General features: G+C 40.5%; 1 protein-coding gene and 2 pseudogenes across 6 annotated transcripts in view, besides 3 other annotated features; 1 reads left to right on the top strand and 2 right to left on the bottom strand.

Annotated features, from left to right (window-relative positions):
* FANCD2 (FA complementation group D2) overlaps positions 1-27,502 on the bottom strand; it is a 75,496-nt gene that overhangs the window by 41,369 nt on the left and 6,625 nt on the right. For 4 of the 6 annotated variants that reach the window (NM_001319984.2, NM_001018115.3, NM_033084.6 and 1 more), the window contains exons 4-19: positions 26,028-26,095; positions 25,766-25,869; positions 25,331-25,391; positions 24,225-24,277; positions 21,207-21,285; positions 20,719-20,843; positions 18,854-18,941; positions 17,901-18,005; positions 17,414-17,514; positions 16,972-17,080; positions 16,700-16,735; positions 13,841-13,984; positions 12,513-12,647; positions 11,059-11,190; positions 8,067-8,177; positions 161-270 (exon numbers count right to left, since the gene is read on the bottom strand). In NM_001319984.2, the coding sequence (NP_001306913.1) occupies positions 161-270; positions 8,067-8,177; positions 11,059-11,190; positions 12,513-12,647; positions 13,841-13,984; positions 16,700-16,735; positions 16,972-17,080; positions 17,414-17,514; positions 17,901-18,005; positions 18,854-18,941; positions 20,719-20,843; positions 21,207-21,285; positions 24,225-24,277; positions 25,331-25,391; positions 25,766-25,869; positions 26,028-26,095 (1,561 nt within the window). Of the gene's footprint in view, positions 1-160; positions 271-8,066; positions 8,178-11,058; positions 11,191-12,512; positions 12,648-13,840; positions 13,985-16,699; positions 16,736-16,971; positions 17,081-17,413; positions 17,515-17,900; positions 18,006-18,853; positions 18,942-19,877; positions 20,028-20,718; positions 20,844-21,206; positions 21,286-24,224; positions 24,278-25,330; positions 25,392-25,765; positions 25,870-26,027; positions 26,096-27,502 lie in introns of those variants that run through there. The other 2 variants (NM_001374253.1, NM_001374255.1) reach the window with 2 other exon arrangements.
* Positions 1-27,502: part of a biological region, named in NCBI's record as "3p25 FANCD2 Alu-mediated recombination region", that runs on past both edges of the window. NCBI's record gives its function as "recombination_partner: LOC107303341 | LOC107303342".
* Positions 2,209-2,902, top strand: CYCSP11 (CYCS pseudogene 11; annotated as a pseudogene).
* Positions 9,626-10,537: a meiotic recombination region, noted in NCBI's record as "meiotic double-strand break mapped by DNA meiotic recombinase 1 chromatin immunoprecipitation followed by single-stranded DNA enrichment and sequencing in the germ cells of some male individuals with the PRDM9 A/A genotype". NCBI's record gives the evidence for it as "EXISTENCE:chromatin immunoprecipitation-seq evidence [ECO:0000229][PMID:25395542]".
* Positions 10,167-10,179: a nucleotide motif, noted in NCBI's record as "nucleotide motif; similarity to the predicted 13-mer PRDM9 A binding motif (LD hotspot motif), CCNCCNTNNCCNC".
* Positions 22,909-23,012, bottom strand: RNU6-670P (RNA, U6 small nuclear 670, pseudogene; annotated as a pseudogene).

The raw sequence follows: 27,502 nt of genomic DNA, 5'->3' as shown, positions 1-27,502 counted from the left end.
TATACAGTCACGATTAGAAGGGAACATGGAAAAGTAGCAAAACACATTTGCTCATTTATAGTTGTAACTTCTACTGCTAAAATGATGTCTATGAGATGTAACACTTAGTTAGCAAGATTAACTGATCTTAAACCACAGAAGTCAGAATCTCCACGTGTACCTGTCTGCCGCCATGATGCCAGCCATGGTCACAGCACCAATAATCCCAATGAGCTTGTACTTGAATACGGTGCTAGAGAGCTGCTTTCTTATCACCAAGTGCATGTCATCCTGCAATGAGATGATGAAGAAAGATGAAAATGCTGGAATGGCACAGCAAAAGAAGGTATGGATATCGAGCCATATAGCTAGACTATAAAGGCGTTTACCGTTTACTAACTGTTTTTTTTTTTTTTTGAGACGGACTTTCGTTCTTGTTGCCTAGGCTAGAGTGCAAAGGGGCAATCTCGGCTCACTGCAACCTCTGCCTCCCAGGTTCAAACGATTCTCCTGCCTCAGCCTCCTGGGTAACTGGGATTACAGGCACCCGCCACCATGCCCGGCTTATTTTGTATTTTTAGTAGAGATGGGGTTTCACCATGTTGGCTAGGCTGGTGAACTCCTGACCTCAGGTGATCCACCAGCCTTGGCCTTCCAAAATGCTGGGATTACAGGTGTGAACCACCATACCCAGCCCTGTGTGTCTTTAGCAAGTCAATTCATCTCTCCAAGTTTTAATTTTTACATCTGTGAAATGGGGACTTTTTTTTTTTTTCTTTGAGAAGGAGTCTCGCTCTGTCACCCAGGCTAGAGTGCAGTGGCGCCATCTTGGCTCACTGCTAGCTCCACCTCCCGGCTTCATGCCATTCTCCTGCCTCAGCCTCCCAAGTAGCTGGGACTACAGGTGCCCGCCACCAACCACGCCCGGATAATTTTTTGTATTTTTAGTAGAGACGGGGTTTCACCATGTTAGCCAGGATGGTCTCGATCTCCTGACCTCGTGATCCGCCTGTCTTGGCCTCCCAAAGTGCTGGGATTACAGGGGTGATTACGTGCCTGGCCCGAAATGGAGAAGGTTGTTTTAAGGATTAGCGATACATTATAAAAAACTTCTAGAACAGTGCCTAGCACATGATAGACATTCAATAATAATATCTTTTATTGTTATTATTTCTATAAGGATATGAAAATTATCATAATGTTGATCACTGCTCAGCCAAAATAATGAACTAGAATAAAATACTCAGGTAAAGATTTAAACATGGAGGCAAGGCTGGGCGAAGTAGCTCATACCTGTCATCCTAACACTTTGGGAGGCTGAGGCTGCTGGACTGCTTGAACCCAGGAGTTCAAGACCAGCCTGGGTAACATGGCAAAACCTCATCTCTATAGAAAATACAAAAATTAGCCAGCTGTGGTGGTGCATGCCTGTGGTCCTGGCTACTCGGAAGGCTGGGGTGGGAGGATCACCTGAGCCTGGGAAGTCAAGAACACAGTGAGCCAGGATCACATCACTGTACTCTAGCCTGGGTGACAGAGCCAGACATTGTCTCAAAATAAAATAAAATAATAAAATAAACATTGCTGAAAAACATTAAAGACATAAGGAAATGGAAAGAGCTACTGTCTTCATGGATTGGAAGACACTTAATATTGCTAATACCATTCAAAGTGATTCAGTGCAATCCTTATCAAAGTCCCACAACATGTTTTGCAGAAACAGAAAGATCCATACCAAAATTCACATGGAATTTCAAGGGACCCCAAACTGCCAAAACCTTGAAAAAGAACAAAGTTGGAGGGCCCACACTTCCTGATTTCAATATTAATACAAAGCTACAGCAGTCAAAACAGTGTGGTGATGGCAGAAGGACAGACGTATAGACCAATGAAATAGAATACAGAGTTCAAAGATAAGCCTTCATATATGTGACAAATTGATTTTTGACAAGGGTGCCAAAGTAATTTCAATGGTGAAAGGACCATCTTCTCAACAAATTGGCACTGGAAAAACTGGATATCCATGTGCAAAAGAATGACGTTAAATCCTTAAAATATTAAAATAAGCTATATACAAAAATTAACACAAAGTGGATCAAAGACCTAAATTTAAGAGCTAAAACCTTCTCTTAGAAGAAAATAAAAGAAAACTTTCATGACCTTGGATTCGGCAATGGTATCTTAAGCATGACAACCAAAAGGACAAGAAACACAAGAAAAAAAATTGATAGAGAGTGGGTCGTACAGCTTTGGAGTGGCAACCTTCGTGGTGCCAGCGATGAAAAACAGAATTATATATGGGTGATGCTGAGAAAGGTAAGAAGATTTTTGTTCAGAAGTGTGCCCAGTGCCACACGGTGGAAAAGGGAGACAAGCACAAGAGTGGGCCTAATCTCCACGGTCTCTTCGTGCGGAAGACAGGTCAGGCCACTGGATTCTCTTACACAGACACCAATAAGAACAAAGGCATCACCTGGGGAGAGGATACACTGATGGAGTATTTGGAGAATCCCAAGAAGTACATCCCTGGAAGAAAAATGATCTTTGCCGGAATTAAGAAGGCAGAAAGGGCAAACTTGATAGCTTAACTCAAAAAAGCTACTAATGAGTAATAATTGGTCACTGCCTTATTTATTACAAAACAAATATCTCATGACTTTTTTATGTGTACCATACTTTAATAGATCTCATACACCAGAATTCAGATCATGAATGACTGACAGAATATCTTGTTGGGTGGTCCTCATTTAAAACTAAGACTGGTTTGTGGTTAAATGAATATGCTGTTTTTTTTAATTTTAATAGTAATTCCAATTCAGTAAATGGTATCACTGTTTACCCCTTCTAAAGATATGATTAGACTTTGTTAGTAATGTTCAACTTTTCACAAAGATGGTGAGTGCCATCTTAAAACTTAATGGAGGCCGGGAGCAGTAGCTCATGCCTGTAATCACAGCACTTTGAGGGGCTGAGACAGGCAGATCATGAGGTTAAGAGATTGAGATCATCCTGGCCAACATGGTGAAACCCCGTCTCTACTAAAAATACAAAAATTAACTGGGCGTTGTGGTGCATGCCCCTAGTCCCAGCTACACGGGAGGCTGAGGCAGGAGAATCACTTGAACCTGGGAGGCGGAGGTTGGAGTGAGCTGAGATTGTGCCACTGCACTCCAGCCTAGTGACAGAGTGAGACTCCATCTCAAAAAAAAAAAAGAAAGAAAGAAAGAAAAAGAAAAAGAAATAGATAAATTTGACTTTATTGAAACTAAATACTTTAGTGCATCAAAGGACACTATCAAGGGAGTGAAAACCCATAGAATGGGAGAAAATATTTGCAAATCATATATCTGATAAGGGATCAATATCCAGAATATATAAATAACTCCCATACCTCAAAACGACAAAAACCTAATTTAAAAATGGGCAAAGGGCTGAGCACGGTGGCTCATGCCTGTAATGCCAGCACTTTGGGAGGCAGAGGTGGGTGGATCTCCTGAGCTCAAGCGTTCCAAACCAGTCTGGGTAACATGACAAAACATAATGTCTACCAAAATTATAAAAAATTAGCTGGGCATGGTGGTGCACACCTATGGTCCCAGCTACTCAGGAGGCTGACATGGGAGGATCGCTTGAGCCTGGGAGGTGGAGGTTGCAGTAAGCCAAGATAACACCACTGTACTCCAATGTGTGTGACAGAGTGAGACCCCATCTCAAAAACAAAACAAACAAAAATGGGTAAAGGACTTGAATAGACATTTCTACAAAAATATAGAAATGGCCAAGAAGTACATGAAAAGATGCTTAACATCATTAGTCATTAGAAAATGCAAATCAAACCACAATGAGATACCACTCGCACTCATCAGAATGATTATAGTTAAAAAATAGGGCCTGGGGAGGTGGCAGGTACCTGTAGTCCCAGGTACTCAGGAGGCTGAGGTGGGAAGACTGCTTAAGCACAGGATTTCCAGGCTGCAGTGAAGTATGATCACGCCACTGCACTGCAGCTTGGGTAACAGAATAAGACCCTATCTAAAAATAATAATAATTTTTAAATTAATTAATTAATAAAAATCAAAAGAAATTTTTAAGAAAGGAAAATACATGTTGGCAAGGATATGGAGAAATTGGAACCTACATACATTGTTGGTGGGAATGTAAAATTATGCAGCTGCTATGGAAAGCAGTTTGGTGGTTCCTCAAAATGGTAAACATATGGTCATCATATGATCCAGCAATTCCACTCTTAGATATACACCCTAAAAAACTGAAAACAGGGACTCAAACAAATATTTGTAAACCAATGGTCACAGCAACATTATTCAAATGGCCAAAAGGTGGAAACAACCCAAGTGTCCATCAATGGATGAATGGATAAACAAAATGTGGTATAAACAAAGAATGGGGGCCGGGCGCAGTGGCTCACGCCTGTAGTCCTAGCACTTTGGGAGGCCGAGGCAGGCGGATCACCTGAGGTGAGGAGTTCAAGACCAGCCTGGCCAACATGGCAAAATCCCATCTCTACTAAAAATACAAAAATCAGCCGGGAGTGGTGGTGCGTGCCTATAATCCCAGCTACTCAGGAGGCTGAGGCAAGAGAACTGCTTGAACCCAGGAGGCAGAGGTTGCGGTAAGCCAAGATTGTGCCATTGCACTCAAGCCTGGGCGACAGAGTGAGACTCCATCTCAACAAAACAAAATAAAACACAACAACAACAAAAACAAAGAATGGAATTATTTATTTATTTATTTATTTATTATTATTTTTTTTTTGAGACAGAGTCTCGCTCTGTCTCCCAGGCTGGAGTGCAGTGATGCGATCTCGGCTCACTGCAAGCTCCGTATCCCGGGTTCACGCCATTCCCCTGCTTCAGCTTCCCAAGTAGCTGGGACTATAGGCGCCTGCCACCACGTCCAGCTAATTTTTTGTATTTTTAGTAAAGACGGGGTTTCACCGTGTTAGCCAGGATGGTCTCGATCTCCTGACCTCATGATCTGCCCGCCTCAGCCTCCCAAAGTGCTGGGATTACAGGCGTGAGTCACCGTGCCCGGCCAAGAATGGAATTATTATAGCTGTAATGGGAATAAAGTTCTGATGCATGCTACAACCTACATGAACCTTGAAAATATTATGCTAAGTGAAATAAGCGAGACGCAAAAGGATACATATCGTATGATTCCATTTATATGAGGCATCTAGAATGAACAAATCCATAGACAGAATGTGATTAGTGATTATTAGGGGGTGGGGAGAGGAAGATGGCAAATTATTGCCTAATGGGTACAAAGTTTGTTTGGGATGATCAGGAAGTTCTAGAAATGGATAGTGGCAATGGTTGTATAACATTGTGAATATACTTAATGCTACTAAATTGTACCCTTAAAAACAGCTTAAACGGTCTATTTTATATTATGTATATTTTATCAAAATTCAAAAATAAAATAAAATAGTGAAGTAGTTTTATATTGCTGATTTGAAGCAATCTCCAAAATAAACTGCTAAATGCAAAAGCTAAGATGTAGAACAAGAAGGGAAAGGAAACTACAGGTAAACACAAATTTGTAAATTCTCAGAACATCTCAGAAGCTTATAAAGTGATTGCCCCTGTGGGAGACAAACCAGGTGCCTACAGAACTGAGAAGTGAGAGTTATTTTTCACTGAATACTCTTCTATATGTTTTGAATTTTGTATGACACATGTATATTACCTAGTCCAAAAGTTTTTTTTTTAATTAAAAAAAATGTGCTGACTGGGGATCCAAGAAAGGGGGGGAAAAAAAGATAAAAAATATGATGGTTGTGGCCGGGTGCGGTGGCTCAGGCCTGTAATCCCAGCACTTTGGGAGGCCGAGGCTGGCGGATCATGAGGTCAGGAGATCAAGACCATCCTGGCTAACACGGTGAAACCCCAACTCTACTAAAAATACAAAAAATTAGCCGGGCGTGGTGGCGGGCGCCTGTAGTCCCAGCTACTTGGGAGGCTGAAGCAGGAGAATGGCGGGAACCTGGGAGGCGGAGTTTGCAGGGAGCCGAGATTGCGCCACTGCACTCCAGCCTGGGTGACAGTGCGAGACTCCATCTCAAAAAAAAAAAAAAAAAAAAAAAAAAAATATATATATATATATATATATATATATGTATATACATGTATATACATGTATATATGTATATACGTATATACATATACGTATATACATATATATATGTATATACACGTATATATATATATACGTATATATATATATATGCTGGTTGTTCAAAGTCACAGTCCAGTATGAATTACTGCCATAAGGTAGCACTAAAGCTACAAACGAGTTACAAGTTATGATTCCAATCTAATCTCTTCGTTTTATTTATTTATTTATTTATTTTGAGATAGAGTCTCACTCTGTTGCCCTGGCTGGAGTGCAGTGGCACAAACATGGCTTACTGTAGCCTCAACTTCCTGGGCTCAATGGATCCTCCCACCTCCGCCTCCTGAGTAGCTAGGATTACAGGTGTGTGCCACCACACCTGGCTAATTTTTCTATGTTTTTGTAGAGATGGGGTTTCACCATGGTGCCCAGGCTGGTCTCAAACTCCAGGGCACATGTGATTCGCCTGCCTTGGCCTCCCAAAGTGCTGGGATTACAGCCTGGCTTTTTCAGTGAATGGCGCCCACAAACAAAAGCAAGCCCACGTGAAGTTCACATTAGATGGAGATGTTTCTTAGAAAACAAGGCAATTCTGTGTCCCCACTGCACTCAGAAACTGAACAGTTTCATGGTTAGCTGATCACAGACCCATCTCTACCCTAACAGACAAAGCTTTTTGAGGGCAGAGGATCTAATATATCAGTGCCTGGCACAGAATAGGCACTTAATGTTTGTGGTAAGAAAAAAAAATGCTAGTACTATGGCTATGTACTCCATTTCCACTACTACACACTAGGAAATCTATCATTTGCTTGTTTTTTTTTTTCTAGCAAATTTCAAGAGGTTTAAAATTAATACAAAATACTGAGAATACAAAAAAATTTTTTTTAATTTTATTCTATTTTATTTTATTTTTATTATTATTATACTGTAAGTTTTAGGGTACATGTGCACAATGTGCAGGTTAGTTACATATGTATACATGTGCCATGCTGGTGTGCTGCACCCACTAACTCGTCATCTAGCATTAGGTGTATCTCCCAATGCTATCCCTCCCGCCTCCCCCCACCCCACAAAGTCCCCAGAGTGTGATGTTCCCCTTCCTGTGCCCATGTGTTCTCACTGTTCAATTCCCACCTATGACTGAGAATATGCGGTGTGCGGTTTTTTGTTCTTGCGATAGTTTACTGAGAATGATGATTTCCAATTTCATCCATGTCCCTACAAAGGACATGAACTCATCATTTTTTATGGCTGCATAGTATTCCATGGTGTATATGTGCCACATTTTCTTAATCCAGTCTATCATTGTTGGACATCTGGGTTGGTTCCAAGTCTTTGCTATTGTGAATAGTGCCGCAATAAACATATGTGTGCATGTGTCTTTATAGCAGCATGATTTATAGTCCTTTGGGTATATACCCAGTAATGGGATGGCTGGGTCAAATGGTATTTCTAGTTCTAGATCCCTGAGGAATCGCCACACTGACTTCCACAATGGTTGAACTAGTTTACAGTCCCACCAACAGTGTAAAAGTGTTCCTATTTCTCCACATCCTCTCCAGCACCTGTTGTTTCCTGACTTTTTAATGATTGCCATTCTAACTGGTGTGAGATGGTATCTCATTGTGGTTTTGATTTGCATTTCTCTGATGGCCAGTGATGATGAGCACTTTTTCATGTGTTTTTTGGCTGCATAAATGTCTTCTTTTGAGAAGTGTCTGTTCATGTCCTTCGCCCACTTTTTGATGGAGAATACAAAAATTAGCTGGGTATGGTGGCACGTGCCTGTAGTCCCAGCCACTTGGGAGGCTGAGGCAGGAGAATCGCTTGAACCCAGGAGGCAGAGGTTGCAATGAGCTGAGATCGTGCCAACTGCACTCCAGTCTAGGAGACAGAGCTAGACTCTGTCTCAAAAAAAAAAAAATCTTTCCCAACATATTGCCTCTTACCTGGATGTGGCTGCTGGCTTCATTCTGTTTGCTAAATGCCAGTGTGCTGAGAACATAGAAGAGTTTTCGTATTTGCTGAGGGGATATGTTATCCAGATAATCTAAAATGCCCTGTGGAAAAAATGATGCCAACAATGAGGCTAGCAGCTAACATTTTTCCCTTAAAATTCAAAAAATTAAAATCCCTGTAAAAGAGACACACATAGATAGCCAGGTATCTAAAACTTTTTAGCTCCCTTAAAAGCTCAAAGCTCAAGTTCTAAAAGCTATGCTCAGAGCCCAAAGGTTTGATAGACTGGATATAAACTGGGAAAATTCTTACAACTTTCTAAATCTCTTATTATCAGAGACTAGGAACTAACTATCAGGAAACATAAAGTTTTCTTTATCCTCTTCACTCTGAACCACAATCCTGGGCTTTAATCATCTACTGCTTAGTCATTCTAATGCACCTCCCAGTTCTCGGTATTCTTTACCTCCACCTTTCCCTTTTTTTTCAGTGAAAACAATATTCTACCAAAAGTTATGTCTTTACCCTATTCCTTGCCATATCATCCCTTCCCAGCTTCTACTCAATGAATTATTTCTCCTTTCTCTACAGATCTGGAAGGAGTCACAAGGAAACTATTTACTTTGTGACCTTGGGAAATGCCTCAGCTTTTCTCATCTATAACATGGTGATAATAATAGCTATACTACCTTTCATGGTTTGTCTGAGGAAAAAGTAATAAAACAGCTTTGTAAACTTTTAATTAATTTTTAAAAATCTCCATTTCTTCCTCTCTATTGAATCCTTTCTCTCAGCCTACAAGCAATCTCAAACCTCCTCATCTAAAAAATATCTCCCTCACAACCAGCTTCTTTCTCAAGCTACTTTTTTTATTCTCTCCTCCTTGATGCTTCTCGACATTGACTCTATTCCCCAAGTCTTCAAGTTACTGCTCTCTGGCTTCCACCCTTATAATTCAATTAACACTGTTCTCTCAGAGGTTACCAGAGGTATCCTAATTGCCAAAGCCAATAGCCTCTGCCTCCATCTTCAACTTTTTCAGTGTCCAACACTGGGAGATAAATCCCTCACTCCTTTTTGTTTTTTTTTTTTTTTTTTTTTTTTTTTGAGACGGAGTCTCGCTCTGTCGCCCAGGCTGGAGTGCAGTGGCGGGATCTCGGCTCACTGCAAGCTCCGCCTCCTGGGTTCACGCCATTCTCCTGCCTCAGCCTCCCAAGTAGCTGGGACTACAGGCGCCCACCACTACGCCCGGCTAATTTTTTTGTATTTTTAGTAGAGACGGGGTTTCACCGTTTTAGCCGGGATGGTCTCGATCTCCTGACCTCGTGATCCGCCCACCTCGGCCTCCCAAAGTGCTGGGATTACAGGCGTGAGCCACCGCGCCCGGCCTCACTCTTTTTTTTTTGACAGTTTCGCTCTTCTCGCCTAGGCTGGAGTGTGATGGCATGATCTCAGCTCACTGCAACCTCCACCTCCTGGGTTCAAGTGATTCTCCTGCCTCAGCCTCCCGAGTAGCTGGGATTACAGGCATGCACCACAATGCCCAGGTAATTTTTGTATTTTTAGTAGAGGAGGGCTTTCTCCATGTTGGTCAGGCTGATTCGAACTCCCAACCTCAGGTGATCCGTCCGCCTCGGCCTCCCAAAGTGCTGGTATTACAAGCATGAGTCACTGTGCCCGGCCAATCCCTCACTCTTGAAACTCATTCCTGGGCTTTTGCTACCTGACATCCTTTAAGCTCACATTATTAATCTTCCAGGTTTCTCATTTTCCTTCTATGGACATTTGCTTTCATCTGCCACTTAAACTTTAACCTTCTCAAAATGTCTGTGCTCTTCTAAGCCTTTTTTTTTTTTTTTTTTTTTGAGACAGAGTCTTGCTCTGTCGCCCAGACTGGAGTGCAGTGGTGTTATCTTGGCTCACTGCAAGCTCCGCCTCCTGGGTTCACGCCATTCTCCTGCCTCAGCCTCTTGAGTAGCTGGGACTACAGGCGACCGCCACGATGCCCGGCTAATTTTTGTATTTTTAGTAGAGACGGGGTTTCACCGTGTTAGGCAGGATGGTCTTGATCTCCTGACCTCGTGATTTGCCCGCCTTGGCCTCCCAAAGTGCTGGGATTACAAGCATGAGCCACCGCACCCGGACCGCCACATATTCTTAACAGTCACCAAGTCATGTTAATTCTAACACCAAATTGTCTCTTAAGCCATAATTTCTTCTACATTCCCGTGACCAAAATCTGGCCCTTACTCTCACTCCCTTAGACCATTTCAGCAGTCTCCAATCCACCCATCATATAGCCTACTGAGTTATCTCTCAATGCTGAGTAGATTAGGTCAACTGTATGTAAAAACTAGTAATAGCTCCTTATTGTCTAAAAAATAAAGTTGAAACTCTTTAGCATGTTATTTGAGACTCTTTGCAACATGGGCCTGTCCTATGTCTTACCAGCCTTGCCTCCAATCATTCCTCTCCATATATATCCTATTCTCCAGTCATGCTTGTTTGCTTCTCATTCCTCAGTCACACCATTGACTTGGGCACCAGTTTGCTTCTGCTCAAACTCTTCTCTGCCTAGAACGCACTTCCCATACTTTCTCTTGTCAGTCATTCCCATCCTTCAGCAATCACTCACATTGCCTCTTTGAAGAATTCTCCAGCTTCCCAGGCTAAATTTAATTATTCTTACTCTGTTATATCTATAGTACTTTACCAGAGAATTCACCATGTTGTATTTATAGTGACTTGCTTATGTGTCTTAGTCTTTAACATGAAAGGTAAGGGCCTACTTTACATTCACAGCACCCAGAATAGAGATTAGCCTGTAGGTTAGGTATAAAGAAGTGTTTGCTGAATGAATTAACACATAGATAGAATAGTCACTTTTTATTTATATTACTTGCCCATCATCTCACCTCCTTCCCACCACCTCCCACCAATTATAGTATTCAATATCTAAAGTACAAGAAGCCAATAAGATACCTTTACAAAGACAGCATTCATCATCATAGCAGATGGGTTTAACACTACCAACTCTAGAAGGACATCTAAGGCAGTATCAACTTCAGCTTCATTCCCACTGCAGATATGGGTCACTAAGGCACCAACCACTTCCTATACAGGGGAGAGTCAACAGAACAGTGTAAAACAAAATATGGATGGCCATTCTAAAGGGATTCACCCCCAAGGCCTCTCCAATCTCTACTTTGTTAAAATCACAATCAACCCAAACCCATCACCTATTATCTAGTTTTCATTAATGTTGGCTTCAGGAGATTTAGGAATATGCCAGTGTAACTTGACCATCCCATCTTGACCTATTTCCCATATTTTATCAGTGAGCTCTACCTAAGCCCTCCTGATTTTGCTCCTTGGCGTAGTTTTCCTCTTTCTTTTTCCCATATGGGTTAAATTTTACCCTTTAGGTTGAGGTTGTACAAGATCAGTTGAAATTCCTCAAAAAGATGGCACTCAAGGAGCTAAAAGCTTTAAAGGTTTTCTCCATATAGTACAGGCTAGACTTGCATGTTTCCAAGCAAACATGGATTATGACAGTGTCTCTAAGACATTAAGAGGGTCCAGAAATGTCTTAGATGCCATTCTCCCTTTATACTGTCACTCCATAATAGTCATAACAGAATTACATTTTCAACTGCAACAGCTACCTCATGTCAGCTGCAACTATTGCTCTACTTTAAATGTTTAAAATTTTTTTACAAATCTTCATTTTAAAAGTTCCATTCAAATGCGTTTTAACATTGTTAATGACAGGAAGAATATATGTAAAAATACAAAATAAGACACTGTTCTTTACTTGCTTTCATAAACATTTTCCACAAATACAGTCCTCCCTCTCTGGATATATGCTATTAAAATGTGTCTCGGCCAGGCCCAATGGCTCACGCCTATAATCCCAGCACTTTGAGAGGCTGAGGCAGGCGGTTCACCTGAGGTCAGGAGTTCGAGACCAGCCTGGCCAACATGGTGAAACGCTGTGTCTACTAAAAATACAAAAAATTAACCGGGCGTGGTGGTGTGTGCCTGTAATCACAGCTACTTAGGAAGCTGAGACAGGAGAATCGCTTGAACCCAGGAGGTGAAGGTTGCAGTGAGCTGAGATAGCACCACTGCACTCCAGCCTGGGCATGAAGAGCAAAACCACGTCTCAAAACAAAACAAAAAAAAGTGTCTCATGTTTTGAAATGGACTAGATCTGGATCTTAATTTCAGACAGAGAATTTTAGAGCTCAGAACACAGAGTTAGAGCCACCAGTCAAGTCTCTTCCTTTCATCAAGGCTGGGACTAGAATTGAGCTTTCTTGAGACCCAGGTCAGAGTTCCTTCCCCTTCAGTGAGTTCCAACCAACAAGAAATAAACATCAGATTATTTTCCCTTTCTGTGTTCCCTCCTTGCCAAAATAAATGTTTCAACATACCTGCTGGCAGTACGTGTCAAAAAACTTAAATGCATATTTGTATAGGAGACTGCCAAATGAAATTATACTCTGGTCTAGAGAGTGAAGCAAACTCTGAGCCAGCGACAGAATGGATGAACACATATCCTTAAGAACCTTGAGTGGGGAAGAGTAGAGAGAGAAAAGAAGCTGTAGGAAACAGTTAGTACACAACCTAAGAGTTGCTTATCCTTTTGGAATGTCAGACTTCTCCTCCCTAGCTCTCATTTTAACTTAGGAAATCTTAATCTTTGTTTTACACAAAAATAATCCTTCATCATTCTGAGATTACTCTCAGCATCAATGGGATTCCACGTTTGGATAATAATTGACTTTTAAGCTCAAAGAAGTTAAATTACAAGCCTAATAGAACATTCCTATCTGCTCAATTTGGGATTGGAGGCCAGATGTTCTAAATCCCAGTTTCCCCATGCAATCATACTACCCCCAGGGATGTTCCACCTTGGTTATAATTTGAAGTAGGTCTATAAGGTTCAATGCTAACTAAGCTGATTTTTTTAAAAGAAGATCAAGAAGAGAAGTGATCATAACCTACCAATAATTCAATGTACATAGACATTAATGGACCCAGACTAAATAACCAGTTAATAAACATAGCTTCCTTATTGATACCATAATTTTTAAAAATCTTATATTTAGTACTAAGCTGGGTATAATGCTTTATTGGGGAAAATGCAATGAAAAATTACATGTGGTTTCTGCATCTAGAAAATTACAGCCCAAAACATGTATAATTGGCAGAAATAAACACAGAAAGAACTGCAAGATAAAATAATACAACCGTTAAATCTATTCCTAAATATAAAATTTAAGACCCAGCGAGGTATTCTCATTAGCTCCTAACCCAAACCCCAAACCACTGGCCCATCCAGTTTTCTAAGTTCTATACTGCTAATATCCTGAACGTTCAGCTGGCAAAACACTATTCCTAGCTTATAAAATTCCACTTTGAATAATTTACATTTCTAGAGGAATTATCACCTAAAGTCCACAGTTTTGAATGGCTAAAGAGTGATAGTTCAAATAGGTACATATTTACATTTCTACTAGTTTCTACAGGCTGGTCCTATTCCCCTCAAGGTTTTTATAAGCTACTTAAATAGGATACGGAAGGCCAGTTTGTCAAAGTTGCAAACTGCATTGAGATAGACAATTAAAATGATTAATGCAAAAACAAAATTCAAAAATCTCAATGGGTTTGAACAATGGACTGAAATAAGATGAAATTTTACATGAGAGCTGTAAAGCTTTCTGTTTTAGATTAAAAATCAATAGTCTCTGACACTTACTAAGTAATGAACAGAGAATGTACTCTGGAGCAGCTGTTCTTGAATGCAGCCTGATCGAATCTTATTTCTTAGCACCCTGTCAATGTACTTCTTTGTCTGAGTATTGGTGCTATAGATGATGAAAAGCATCACCAGGTCAAACACCTATTGTCAATAAATATGCAACAACAGAAAAACAGTTAACAAATCAGTACATTTGCTACAATGAAACAGCAGCTTTTCCTCTAATTAAAACACAGAATGGATAATGCTCATTTGTTCCACACACTCCCCTGGGAGTATCTACACTTTTCACAAAACTCAGAAATATTTTTCAGATAAATAAAGTGCCACAACTGTTAACCATTGATACCCCTTAAGAATACAGAGCAGGCCAGGCACAGTGGCTCACATCTGTAATCCCAGCACTTTGGGAGGCCAAGGCGGGCAGATCACAAGGTCAGGAGATCGAGACCATCCTGACTAACACGGTGAAACCCCGTCTCTACTAAAAATACAAAAAATTAGCCGGGTGTGGCAGCATGCACCTATAGTCCCAGCTGCTGGGGAGGCTGAGGCAGGAGAATGGCGTGAACCCGGGAGGCAGAGCTTACAGTGAGCCGAGATCGCGCCACTGCACTCCAGCCTGGGTGAGAGAGCGAGATTCCATTCTCAAAAAAAAAAAAAAAGAATACAGAGCAATATGCATGAAAGTGATATTACTACAGAAGTAACTCTGAACATCTTGACATTTATTAAAAGAAAGATTCAATCACTTGCCAACTCCAGCGTGTATTTGTTGCCAACTACAGTATGTATTTTCAGTATTACTAGGAAAATTACTAGGCCAGGCACGGTGGCTCACGCCTGTAATCCCAGCACTTTGGGAGGCCGAGATGGGTGGATTACGACGTCAGGAGTTCAAGACCAGCCTGGCCAAGATGCTGAAACCCTGTCTCTACTAAAAATACACAAATTAGCCGGGCAAAGTAGCACACACCTGTAATCCCACCTACTTGGGAAGCTGAGACAGGAGAATCGCTTGAACCCGGGTGACAGAGGTTGCAGTGAGCCGAGATCGAGCCACTGCACTCGAGCCTAGGTGACAGAGCAAGACTTTGTCTCAAAAAAAAAAAAAAAAAAGGAAAATTACTTTGTGAAAAGTTGGAAAGACTATAAATGCCCATCAATACATCAATACAGGAAAGGTTCAATAAATTATGATGGAGTAATTTTAATTTTTGGAATATTACACAGTCATCAGGAAGAATAAGCCATGCTAGGCATGGTGGCTCACGCCTATAATCCCAGCACTTTGGGAGGCCGAGGCGGGCAGATCATGAGGTCAGGAGATTGAGACCATCCTGGCTAACATGATGAAGCCCCATTTCCACTAAAAATACAAAAAATTAGCCGGGCGTGGTGGCAGGTGCCTGTAGTCCCAGCTACTTGGGAGGCTGAAGCGGGAGAATGGCGTGAACCCAGGAGGCGGAGCTTGCAGTGAGCCGAGATCACGCCAGTGCAGTCCAGCCTAGGTGACAGAGTGAGAACCCGTCTCAAAAACAAAAACAAAAACAAAACAAAACAAAAAAAGAGAAAACATTGGGCGTGTATTCAGGGCAACCTGAGTCTATGCTTCCAGGAAAAAAAAAAAAACAGTTAAAAAGGCAAGCAGGACAAACAAGAAAAAACAAAAAAAATTTTACTACTTATCTTAACTGAATGCTCCACTTCTTAGGACACCAAAACTGAGTTATTAGACCAGAATACAGTCATTAAAGATAACAATGAAGACAATGCAGACCTTGAAATATTTATGACAGGAGAAAAAATGTTAAGAAAAAAAAGTAAGAATACAAATTATATTTATACAATGATTACAAATATGTAAAAATAGGTATGCAGGCAGCCAAGGTGGTAAATTTATGTTTATCCAAAACCAAAAACAGTGTGTTGGAGTACTTTGATATTTTTCACCAGAAAAAATTCTGAATTTTCATTGCTTTATTCAGCATCATGAAAGCTTTTAAGATAATCATCCCAAAATTGGATAACAAAACTAACAAAAATCCCACAAAACAGATTCCAACCAAAGAAAAATCTTTAAAGGCAACCAATCAGCACCTAAGGAACTCAATCATCCGGCTTTTTATCTTTTGAGATGGAGTCTTGCACTGTCGCCCAGGCTGGAGTGCAGTGGCGTGTGCCACCAGGCCAGGCTAATTTTTTTTGTATTTTTAGTAGAGACGGGGTTTCGCTACATTGGCCAGGCTGGTCTCAAACTCCTGACCTCAGATGATCCGCCTGCCTCAGCCTCCCAAAGTGCTGGGATTATAGGCGTGAGCTACCGCGCCCGGCCAATCATCTGGCTTTTTGATGGAAGGTATTTCTAGAATTAATAGAGACATAAGATCCAGTACCACTGCCTTGACAGTGGACAGATTGATTTACTCTAGTCAGGTCTACATGAGCAAAGTAAAGTAAAACATGGAATGCCATTATCTTGACAGTGGTGCTGAGTGGAAGGAAGGGCAATTAGGCAGATACAGGGACCTGAGACTTAGGTGGTTATTTTCTTCATCTCATCAGTGGGGACCTGGCTTCTTTGACTGCACCTTGATGTGCTTGTTTACACTGTTAGTATTTCCCCTTGTGGATACTGTAGGCTTATTTTATAGCCAGAGTGAGTAGGGGCAGGCTATCTGGCCAGTCGCCACCTCAGATTATCTTCCCCAGACAGCTAATGTTTATTAGAGCAACTAGGGAAGAGAGAGAAGAGTGACTGGAGGGGGGAGAAAGAAAGACAGTGGGAAGGCAAGCTAGCCAATGTCATTACTTTTAAGTCTGCAATACTGAAAATGCATAGTACATGAACATTACCTTGTGTTCAGATACTGAGGCAGTGTTTTCAATTGCCTGAAAAAACAGGAGAGAGTCACAAAAATATTATGACACATCAGCGAAACACGTTACACCTTATTCAGCATGCCCTGTTATCTCATCTAAGAGCCAATGTGTCCATCTGGCAACCATCAGCTATCATTTCCACTTGAATGAGTTTTGAGATTTTTATTTCAGTCTACCTCAGTTATACATCTGTCACTAATTGCCACTCATTTCCTCCTTGATAATCAAAGTTCCAAAGATCTCACCTTAATCCAGGCTTCTGAAATGGTTTTCTCATATCTAATAGCTGACTTTATTACATCAAAGAGGAGAATAATACAGCTCTGACCGCTGCTTTCTTGATTTCCTGAGGAACTACAAGTAGCAGAGAGGAAAAAAATTACTCTTCTACGTACCAGAAAAGAACTTACAAGATCGGAGTTCCTGCCATGTACCCTGGAGCAAATGACAACCTCATGTATAAGATGGCTAATAAACTTGCACTGTCGTCTGTCTGGGATTGATCTGAATGGCTAAGAAAATATATAAACACATACATACTCACATACATATATGTAATTTGAAAAACAATATAATACTAGATGTAAATGTCATAATAGTATCATTATTTGTAGTAGTATTAAGCTCTAACTCTGACAGTGGGATGTCAGAAAATTGTGACATCCTGTGTGAGGATGAGCTCTTTACCTTGCTCGTCCTTTACTTTTCAACTTTACTTGGGAAGCCTGTAACCGTGATGGCAAAACACAATGCTGCAGATCCAACTTCTCCCGAAGCTCAGAAATTACCTGCAGAAAGTAAATATTAGCTATGGTTTTCTGCTCATTCATAGTGGGTAGGCACAGTCCAGTCTCTCTACCATGACAATCTCCTGAAAGACTGAGGAAGAAAAAAATTTAAATGTTGGACATTTTGAAAAATAGAGTTATGAGAATAGCCAATGCAATGTCATAGAACATCATACCCAAAATTTCAGAATTCTGTGAGGTACTACACAGGAAGAGTAAATGTAACTTATAGCAGCTTATATAGATCAATGAATCTGTTGAATAGCTCCATTCTCTCCTCTGAATGCTATCCGGATTAGTCAGTATTCTCAGTTAGTCTGGGGACAGAGAAGAGCAATTGGCACTTAAGTTGCTTTATCTAGGTGTGATGGGATATAAGAGCATACCTCAAGTGTATCCATGGCTGTTACGGAATGAAGAATGAACTTTATTATCACAGGTAAATCCTCCAATCTAATAGACGACAACTTATCCATCACCAACTGGCGAACCTAAAAATTAAAAGCACAGAAACTTAATAGGTTTTCATGTCACTACCTCAACTTTGTACTGAACTGTTAGATAAAATTAGAAAAAAATCACTTCTCTTACTCCATCTTCCCACTTATAATTTAGGGAAAAACAAAATTTTAGATTTTTCCCCAAATTAGAATCTTTTAGTTGTTAATACCACAGCTTCATCAAAAATAGACGGGCAATAAATGTGAAACAGAGCTATTATCTTACATTTAGAGCCTAAATTCTCAACTGGCTACAGTAAGGCATAAAAAGTATTATTCCTATGGGAAGCAGGTATGACTCAGACAACATGGAAGATTTCCACTCAAAACTTACTGCTTAAAAACAGACCTGTGGGCCAGGCACGGTGGCTCAAGCCTGTAATCCCAGCACTTTGGGAGGCCGAGGGGGGTGGAAAACAAGGTCCGGAGTTCAAGACCAGCCTGGACAATATGGTGAAACCCCGTCTCTACTAAAAATACAAAAATTAGCCGGGAGTGGTGGCAGGTGCCTGTAACCCCAGCTACTTGGGAGGCTGAGTCAGGGAACTGCTTGAACTTGGTAGGTAGAGGTTGCAGTTAGCGGAGATTGCACCACTGCACTCCAGCCTGGGTGACAGAGTGATACTCCGTCTCAAAAAAAAAAACAGACCTGTGACTCTACCATAGAATAGCATCTGAAACTCATTGAGGGGAAAAAAAAAAAAAAAGAGAGATATCAAATGTGATTCACTATGGTTTCAAAATGAAATATTCATTACTCCCAAGGCAATGACTGACTGACACTTGTTCTGGGAGGTTGGAAAGCTGGCTCTGTTTCTGGAAAGCTGAGTCTTTTCTACCTTCAATAGGAAGTTTGGGTCAAGTCGGAGGCTTGAAAGGACATCCAGGATTGGGACAGTGAGTGAAGTATTCTCTATCAGTAGGTCACTGTGAATGGTAGAAAAAGAAAAAAGTTGTATAATGGTTTGAACAGAGCTGGGCAGACAATGACTTGAGAAAATCATTTATTAGAGTATGAAAATAAAGGACATACTTAGTTGCCATTAAGTTACCGTTTATAGTATGTTTCTTTAAAAATTGTTTTGACTGCAAAAAATAATACATGCTCATTATAAAAATTCAAATAATAAAAGTAGAAACAAGAAGCCTTCCATCACAATCCCCACTACCCAGAGAACACCACTATTTAGTTTGGTATGTATCCTTCCCCGCAAAAAGGAAAAAGAAAACCCAAAACATTTACAATGAAATCTGATAAGTATGAGAGACACATGTAGGTGGTGCTACAGGAGCACAACATAGTGAGAAGGACAGTGATAGATTGCTTTTTTTTTTGTTTGTTTGTTTTTTGAGACAGGGTCTTACTCTGATGCCCAGGCTTGAGTACAGTTACAGTGGTGTCATCACAGCTCACTGTAGCTTCGACCTTCCACGCTCAATTGATCCTCCCATCTCAGCCTCCTGAGTAGCTAGAATTATAAGTGCGTACCACCACGCCCACCTAATTTTTGTATGTTTTTGAAAGACGGCTTTTCACCATGTTGTCCAGGCTGGTCTCAAACTCCTGGGCTCAAGTGACCCACCCACTTCAGCCGCCCAACATGCTGGGATTAAAGGCATGAGCCACTGCGCCCAACAGACGGTGACAGATGCTAAAAAAAAAAAAAGACTATACAAAAGGAGATGAGCTGGCATCAGGCAGGTAAAGTGGATGGCGTAGTACTTTGCCCAGAAGGAGCATCCTGCCCAAAAGGATGAGGGCAAGAAATCACTGGATGTTTTGGAGGTAGCTTTGCAGACAACTATACAAAAGGAAGTATTACAAACTGAATTTAAAAAAAATACTTCTAGTACAATAAAAAGTTGCATTAAGATGGAAACTTTATTACCTAGGGATATTGTTCTCCCCTTCTTCAATACTTCCCTACCAATTACTATTTTTCAAATGAATGACAGTAAGCAATGGGTCTCCGCAAGCGGTCTGATGCAGGACTGTGCATTAGAATGAATCACCTAGGAACCCAAAGAAGGTAGATGTTTAATAGGCTCCACAAATGATTTTAATGTGCAGCCAGGGTTAAGGACCCCCTGAAGAACAAGTTAATGAAACTTAAGGGATCATGGTCAACTTCTCCACTGGCCAAATTTAGATATCTAATCCTAAGCCAGACTTCACGCTCATAACAGGTATACCATTTAAAAGAAAGTACATGGGGCCAGGCACGGTGGCTCATGCCTGTAATCCCAGCACTCTGGGAGGCCGAGGAGGGCGGATCACAAGGTCAGGAGATCGAGACCATCCTGGCTAACATGGTGAAACCCCGTCTCTACTAAAAATACCAAAAAAATTAGTCGGGCATGGTAGCAGGTGCCTCTAGTCCCAGCTACTTGGGAGGCTGAGGCAGGAGAATGGGGTGAACCCAGGAGGCGGAGGTTGCAGTGAGCTGAGATCGCACCACTGCACTCCAGCCTGGGCGACAGAGCAAGACTGTCTCAGAAAAAAAAAAAAAAAAAAAGAAAGTATGTGGATCTATTCAAATATATACCTTTTTTTTTTAAGTCAAATCCCATACCCTACTCATGAAGGGGGGTATCATCCTCTTTTTAGATAGAAGAGACCATATTACTACTGCTCTTTGCATACTGCAGTGATAGAACCCCCATAGCTGAGCCTCACTTAGATGATGACAGAGGGTTTATCCACCTGAGTTCTTTCCCCACATCAGCGTGCTGGGAATCCCCTAGGATCTCAGGTAGGCTGGTGATGATGTCATGCTGCAGGTTCTCTGGAGCAATACTGATCAGCTGCATGATCTTGGTGGTGAGGTCCTGCAGTAGAAGACACTATTAGAACTGCAGCACATTACCCAGAATAAAGAAAGACTACCTACGTGTGAAATGCAGAGCTGAAATTATTTGAGAAATAAACACAGTCATTTATCTCTGTACTTTGAAAAAGAATCTTCCCAAATATTTAATTTATTTAATAAATGATATCTACTCTTCGTATTTAAACTTTTCTGAAATTTAAAGGGTGAAGTATCTATGATTCTCAAATTATGAAAATTGGAAAAAGCTAATGGATGGATGGAAAAGTATGAATTTTCTGTTTAGAAAGAAAAAAAAATACAACCTCCAAAAGATATGAGAAACATACTCTTTAAATTCAAGAGATAAAGTCCATAAGCCTACCTTGCCATCCACAACTCTGTCAAGCCATTTTAGTTGACTGACAATGAGTCGAGGTATGTTGATTTCATCACTGTTCTTGCTAAAATGTTAGGAAGAGAAAACAGGGAACTGAGCCTTTCTGGTCAAAATAACAGCAAGCATTAATACTGCACAAAATATTTTAGCCATTCCATTAACATTTACCGAACACCTACTATGCATTCGGCACTGCACTAGACACACAAGTGATACCCAAGATGCAGGAGATACATGCTTACGTATGTTAAGAAAAATGTCTAGAAGACATGCTAAATATGAACAGTGACTACATCCAGGGAGGATTTAGAGAGAAGGGATGACAGGGCTAGACAGCATCTCTTAATAATAATTTTTAAAAAGACAATGTTAATAAATCTTAAAAACTGAATATGACAAGTATTTTTAAAAGGTAAGACACTAATAACATCAACGCAGTAAGTGCTTAAAAAGGCAAGCATAAGTCAGATGCAGTGGCTCATGCCTGTAATCCCAGCACTTTGGGAGGCCAAGGTGGGCAGATCACATGAGGCCAGGAGTTCAAGACCAGCCTGGCCAACACGGTGAAACCCCATCTCTACTAAAAATACAAAAATTAGCTGGGCACGATGGTGGGTACCTGTAATCCCAGCTACTTGGGAGGCTGAGGCAGGAGAATCGCTTGAACCCAGAAGGCGGAGGTTGCAGTGAGTTGAGATCGTGCCACTGCACTCCAGCCTGGGTGACAGAGCCAAGACTCTGTCTCAAAAAAAAAAAAAAAAAAGCAAGCATATATTGCTAAGGGAACATAGAAAGTCAAATTAGATTATATTTATAAAAGTACTAAAAATCATTTATAAATAAAGAAATGTTGGCTCAATTATCATTTTTCCAAATATGATAGTTTCCACCTTCCTTCGAGCCTCCTATATCTAAAGTTTTGGACCACTTCCATCTCCTTGACAGCATGGTCCTTGTTATTGCAGCCAATCTTAACTGAAAAAGACTAGCCAGGATGTAAAGCATCCAGCATGAGACATTTAGCTAAAACAAATTTGAAAAAATAAACCTTCAGTGGGTGCAGTGGCTCACTCCTGCAATCCCAGCACTTTGTGGGGCTGAGGCAAGCAGATCACTTGAGGTCAGGAGTTCGAGGCCAGCCTGGCCAACATGGCGAAACCTCATATCTACTAAAAATACCAAAAATTAGCTGGGTGTGGTGGCGCACACCTGTAATCCCAGCTACTCGGGGGGCTGAGGCAGGAGAATCACTTGAACCCAGGAGGCAGAGGTTGCAGTGAGCCAAGATCGCACCACTGTACTCTAGCCTGGGCAACAGAGTGAGATTCCGTCTCAAAATAAGTAAACCTTTAAACTTACTATTACTGTATCAGGACTCTGAAAAAATTAAAAAGGAGAACATAAAAATGACTATAATCCTGTCATTCCAGAAAGGTACACTATTAATATACATATGTGTATGTGTGTATCTTCTTTTTTAAACAAAATACTGAACTACTTATTGCAAAAACTGCAATTACTTTTGCACCAACCTAATATAAGTGCTATGTGTAACCTGGGTTTGTTTTTTTCAATTAATGTATGATATTAACTAATTCTTTTTACAATTATTAATGTGCACATAATATTTCTATTTTTTGAACATCTCAATTATTTACATTTCTTTATTTTAAAGAGTAATCTTTTTCAATATACGGAACACTTCACAAATTTGGGTATCACCCTTGCAAAAGGGCCATGCTAATCTCTGTATTGTTCCAATTTTAGTATACGTGCTGCCAAAGCAAGCACTAAACTAATATTATTTCATTTTCATTCACAGTTATTATCTTAGGATAAATGAGGAGACATGACATTAGGATTAAAGGGTATGCAAAATCTAAGGTTTTTGACACATACAATCTATTGCTCTTCCGAATCGATGCCTGAACTAATTTATATGCTCACTAGCAACGTACAAGCATGCCTATTCACTACACTCAACAAGGAGACCCTTTGAGAGTAGGAAAAAATGCATTTATTTTACTGTGTAATAGTTATTATTTACTATTTTGATACAGTGTTTTAAATTTGTGCCTTTGATTGCTAACAAAATTGAACTTTTTAAATATTTGATGTTCTTGTATTTCTTCTTTGTAAACTGTCTGTTCATGACCTTTGTCTACTTTTCTATTAGGCTGTTCATTTCTTAACATAGTAATTAAAAAAAAACAGGTAGGGCCACATCCCAGTAGTTTGAGAGGCTAAGGCAGGTGGACCACTTGAGCCTGGAAGTTTTGAGACTAGCCTGGGCAACATGGCGAAACCCCACCTCTACCAAAAAAAAAAAAACCACGAAAATTAGCTGGACCGGGTGGCGCACACCTGTAGTCCCAGGCACTCATGATGCTGAGGTGTGAGGATCACTTAAGCCTGGGAGGTGGAGGCCTCAGTGAGCCATGATCGTACTACGGCACTCCAGCCTGGGCAACAGAGTGAGACCCTGTCTGAACATACACTACAAAATTTAAAAGGTAAAGAAAAGTATTCAGAAAATACCTGATTCCAACCAACTGGCTACCCTCTTTGGAGACAACTACCATTACCAGTATATTGTGTATCCTTCTACTAGGGATTATCCCTGAGCATAAGCAACAGATACTTAAAAAAAAAAAAAAAATTCTGTTTTGAAATACAGACAAGGTCTCACTACATTGCCCAGGCTGGTCTTGAATTCCTGAACTCAAGCAATCCTCCTCCCTCAGCTTCCCAAACTGTTGGGATTACAGGTGTGAGCCACTGCACCAGGCCAATAGTTACTTTTAACAGTAATCCTATCTATTTTTACAAAGTCATATTAATAGATGAAACTTCAAAGACACTCCAGTAAAATTTTAGTAGTCACTTAAGAAATATAATGATAAATATGACTTTCAGAGAAACCAATAGTTTTCAGAGTAACCTTTTCAGAGAGAACTTAAGTACATCAGGGTACTTTGAACATTCCATAATAACGCCACTTACTTTTCAAAAAAATATTCTGGCAACTTCTCAAATAAGGTTTTGATAATGGCAGGCTAAAAAAGAAGACATAGGGAGTTAGGAGATGATCTCAAAATACACAATAGAAATGTATAATCCCAGCTACTTGGGAGGCTGAGGCACGAGAACCTCTTGGACCTGGGGAAGGCAGAGATTGCAGTGAGCCGAGATTGCACCACTCCACTCCAGCCTGGGTGACAAAGGAGACTCTGACTCAAAAAAAAAAAAAAAAAAAGAAATGTATAATTCTCTTTCCAACTAGAGCTCCTGGAATAAACACTTTGCTAAAGTTGATATCTTATTACAAGGATATCCACACGAATATGTCTTCATTTTTAGAATATGCTATTGGAATACAAAGACTTAATTTGTCTTCTGAAAAACTGAAAATGATTATCAAGGCAACGTTAAAATAATCAGATAATTAAAATATTATTAAATACAATAACTGTTAATCCACAAAATGCAAACTTTAAAAGATTATCAAATAACTTGCAAGGGGAGCTCTCAGGAGGAACAAGGGAGCTCTTAGACTTAAAATAACTAAATTATCTTCAAGATTTCCAGTGAAAAGGAAGAGTTTAAGAGTGTGAAAAGATTAACAGTAGGGGAGAAGAGGAAAAATGGAGAATGGGGTGGAGGGAAGTTTTCTGCTCTATATACATTTGTATAACTTGAGATATTTAAATCATATCAATGTATTGTCTACTTAATAAAAGAGACGAGGAGGAGGAAAAGGACAAAATTAAGTTACATAAGCATCTAAAAAGCTAAATGGGAGATAATGTAGATATGAATATGATAAAGATTACCAGATACTCAGAGATACACAGGATGCAGCTTTAAGAACAGGAATCAGATGCAGAGAGAATAAATGGGGCCGCCAGATGTATTAGGCTAATAAGCACAGTTTTAAAACACAGACATTACCCTACCAAACCCATCACAGCAACAGGGCTGTGCTAAAGCTGCTACAAACCCAAATTCTCCAATTAACCCTACTCTATCCTGTGTTCCCGCTATTTAGACTTGAGCATACACCACAAACCTCTTCCATCAAATGTTCACAGAAAAAGTGACAGTCTTACCTGCAGTATGTCAATCCCCAGAAGCAGTTTGATGAGACTCTTAGAATAAGATGCACCCATACTGTAAAAAAAAAAGAAATCTGTTTTCCACTTTGCTTTCCTTGTTTTAATGCTTTTATCATCTTTTCTCAATAAAATTGGTTAAATACATAATATTTAAAGAGGAACTACCCTGTTAGACAAGAAATACAGAAATGAGCAGATGGCTCTTTGCAAGGGAGAGGTAGAGATTTGAAATTCTGTCAGCATAGGTAAAACACTGATTGTTAGGCTCATAACCACAAGCTTAGGAATTTTAAACTTAGTTTAAACTCTGAGGAAAACAGAGCTTACACCAAAAATGAAATTTGAAACAACTGTGCTCTCCCTCCCCAGCCCCATGAAGTTGGCAAAACAGACTGAATTTCAGCAAGATTCCATGCCTCCTCTCCACACCTGGCTTCCTCATCCTGCAGACGCTCACAAGACAAAAGGCAGTTCCTGAAACTGTCTTCATCCTCAATGTAAGACTCCAGGCCACTAACAAATTCTTCTATTATCTTAAGGAGATTTAAAAAATAAAAAAGAATAAAATTTTTAGTTTAATATTTGCTGTTAAAAATCATTCTAGCCCACTCAACTTTATACCAGTGTCCTTAAATTCCAAATTCTAGAGTTATGCTGGCACAAGCAAAAATACCAGGGGAAAAATACATACTTTGGGATAGGAAGGGTGTCTCCTCAGGGTCTGAAAGAGCTTCTTTTGGAAAGCTATTTGATCCACAGCTATGCAGAAAAAAGAAGAGCTGGTCACCAGTTTCCTACCATAGTTTTCCTTCTCTAAAAACCCAAGTTTCTTGCCTGATGAAACCAATAAAAATATTTTCAACCTAATTTCAGAGACAAATCTTTTTTTTTTTTTTTTTTTTTGAGATGGAGTTTTGTTCTGTTGCCTAGGCTGGAGTGCAGTGGCGTGATCTCAGCTCACAGGAACTTCCGCCTCCTGGGTTCAAATGATTCTCCTGCCTCAGCCCCCCCAAGTAGCTGGGACTACAGACACGTTTTTTTTTGTTTTGTTTCGTTTTTTGTATTTTTAGTAGAGACAGGGTTTCACTGTGTTAGCCAGGATGGTCTCGATTTCCTGACCTCGTGATCCACCCTCCTCAGCCTCCCAAGTGCTGGGATTACAGGCATAAGCCACTGTGCCCAGCCCAGAGTCATGGGGTTGTGTCTAAACCCACATAAAAGACTTAGCTTTGGCTGGGCGCGGTGGCTCATGCCTGTAATCCCAGCACTTTGGGAGGCCGAGGCAGGTGGATCACAAGGTCAGGAGATCAAGACCATCCTGGCTAACACGGTGAAACTCCGTCTCTACTAAAAATACAAAAAATTAGTCAGGCATGGTGGCGGGCGCCTGTAGTCCCAGCTACTTGGGAAGCTGAGGCAGAATGGTGTGAACCTGGGAGGTGGAGCTTGCAGTGAGCAGAGATCGCGCCACTGCACTCCAGCCTGGGCGACAGAGCAAGACTCCGTCTCAAAAAAAAAAAAAAAAAAAAGACTTAGCTTTGATAGCAGATAGCCACTAAGTGTTCTAAAAAAGACCTGCCATAACCTTAGCAAGATAGAATAATCTGCTCCCCCAAAACAGAATCTTATATGGCTTTATAAATTTTCTTCTGAAATTATTCTGACACTGATACAGCTGCTTTCTGGATATTTATTTTTTCATAAGAAAACACAAAATAAATAATATATAATATTTTTTCTAATAAAAGGATGAGAAATGCTTTACTTAAGACATAGTAATGAGGACCAAAGACTGTACCATTTTCTTTTTCCATTTTTGTTTTTTGGAAATGGAGTCTCACTCTTGTCGCCCAGGCTGGAGTGCAGTGGTGCGATCTTGACTCACTGCAACTTTCACCTCCCGGGTTCAAGCAATTCTCCTGACTCAGGCGCCCAAGCAGCTGGGACTACAGGCACATGCCACCATGCCCGGCTAATTTTTTATATTTTAGTAGAGACGTGTTGCCCAGGCCGGTCGCAAATTCCTGAGCTCAGGCAATCCGCCTGCCTCGAGCCTCCCAAAGTGCTGGGATGATAAACGTGAGCCACCGCGCCCGGCCTGACTGTACCATTTTCTAAAAAGCAATTTCAACTTTGTCTCAAGATGGATGGCCCTCTGATTTCTAA

Source organism: Homo sapiens, chromosome 3 (assembly GCF_000001405.40).
Source record: "Homo sapiens chromosome 3, GRCh38.p14 Primary Assembly".
In the NCBI taxonomy this organism is placed as follows: Eukaryota; Metazoa; Chordata; class Mammalia; order Primates; family Hominidae; genus Homo; species Homo sapiens.
This window is presented reverse-complemented; position numbering and strand designations above follow the sequence as displayed.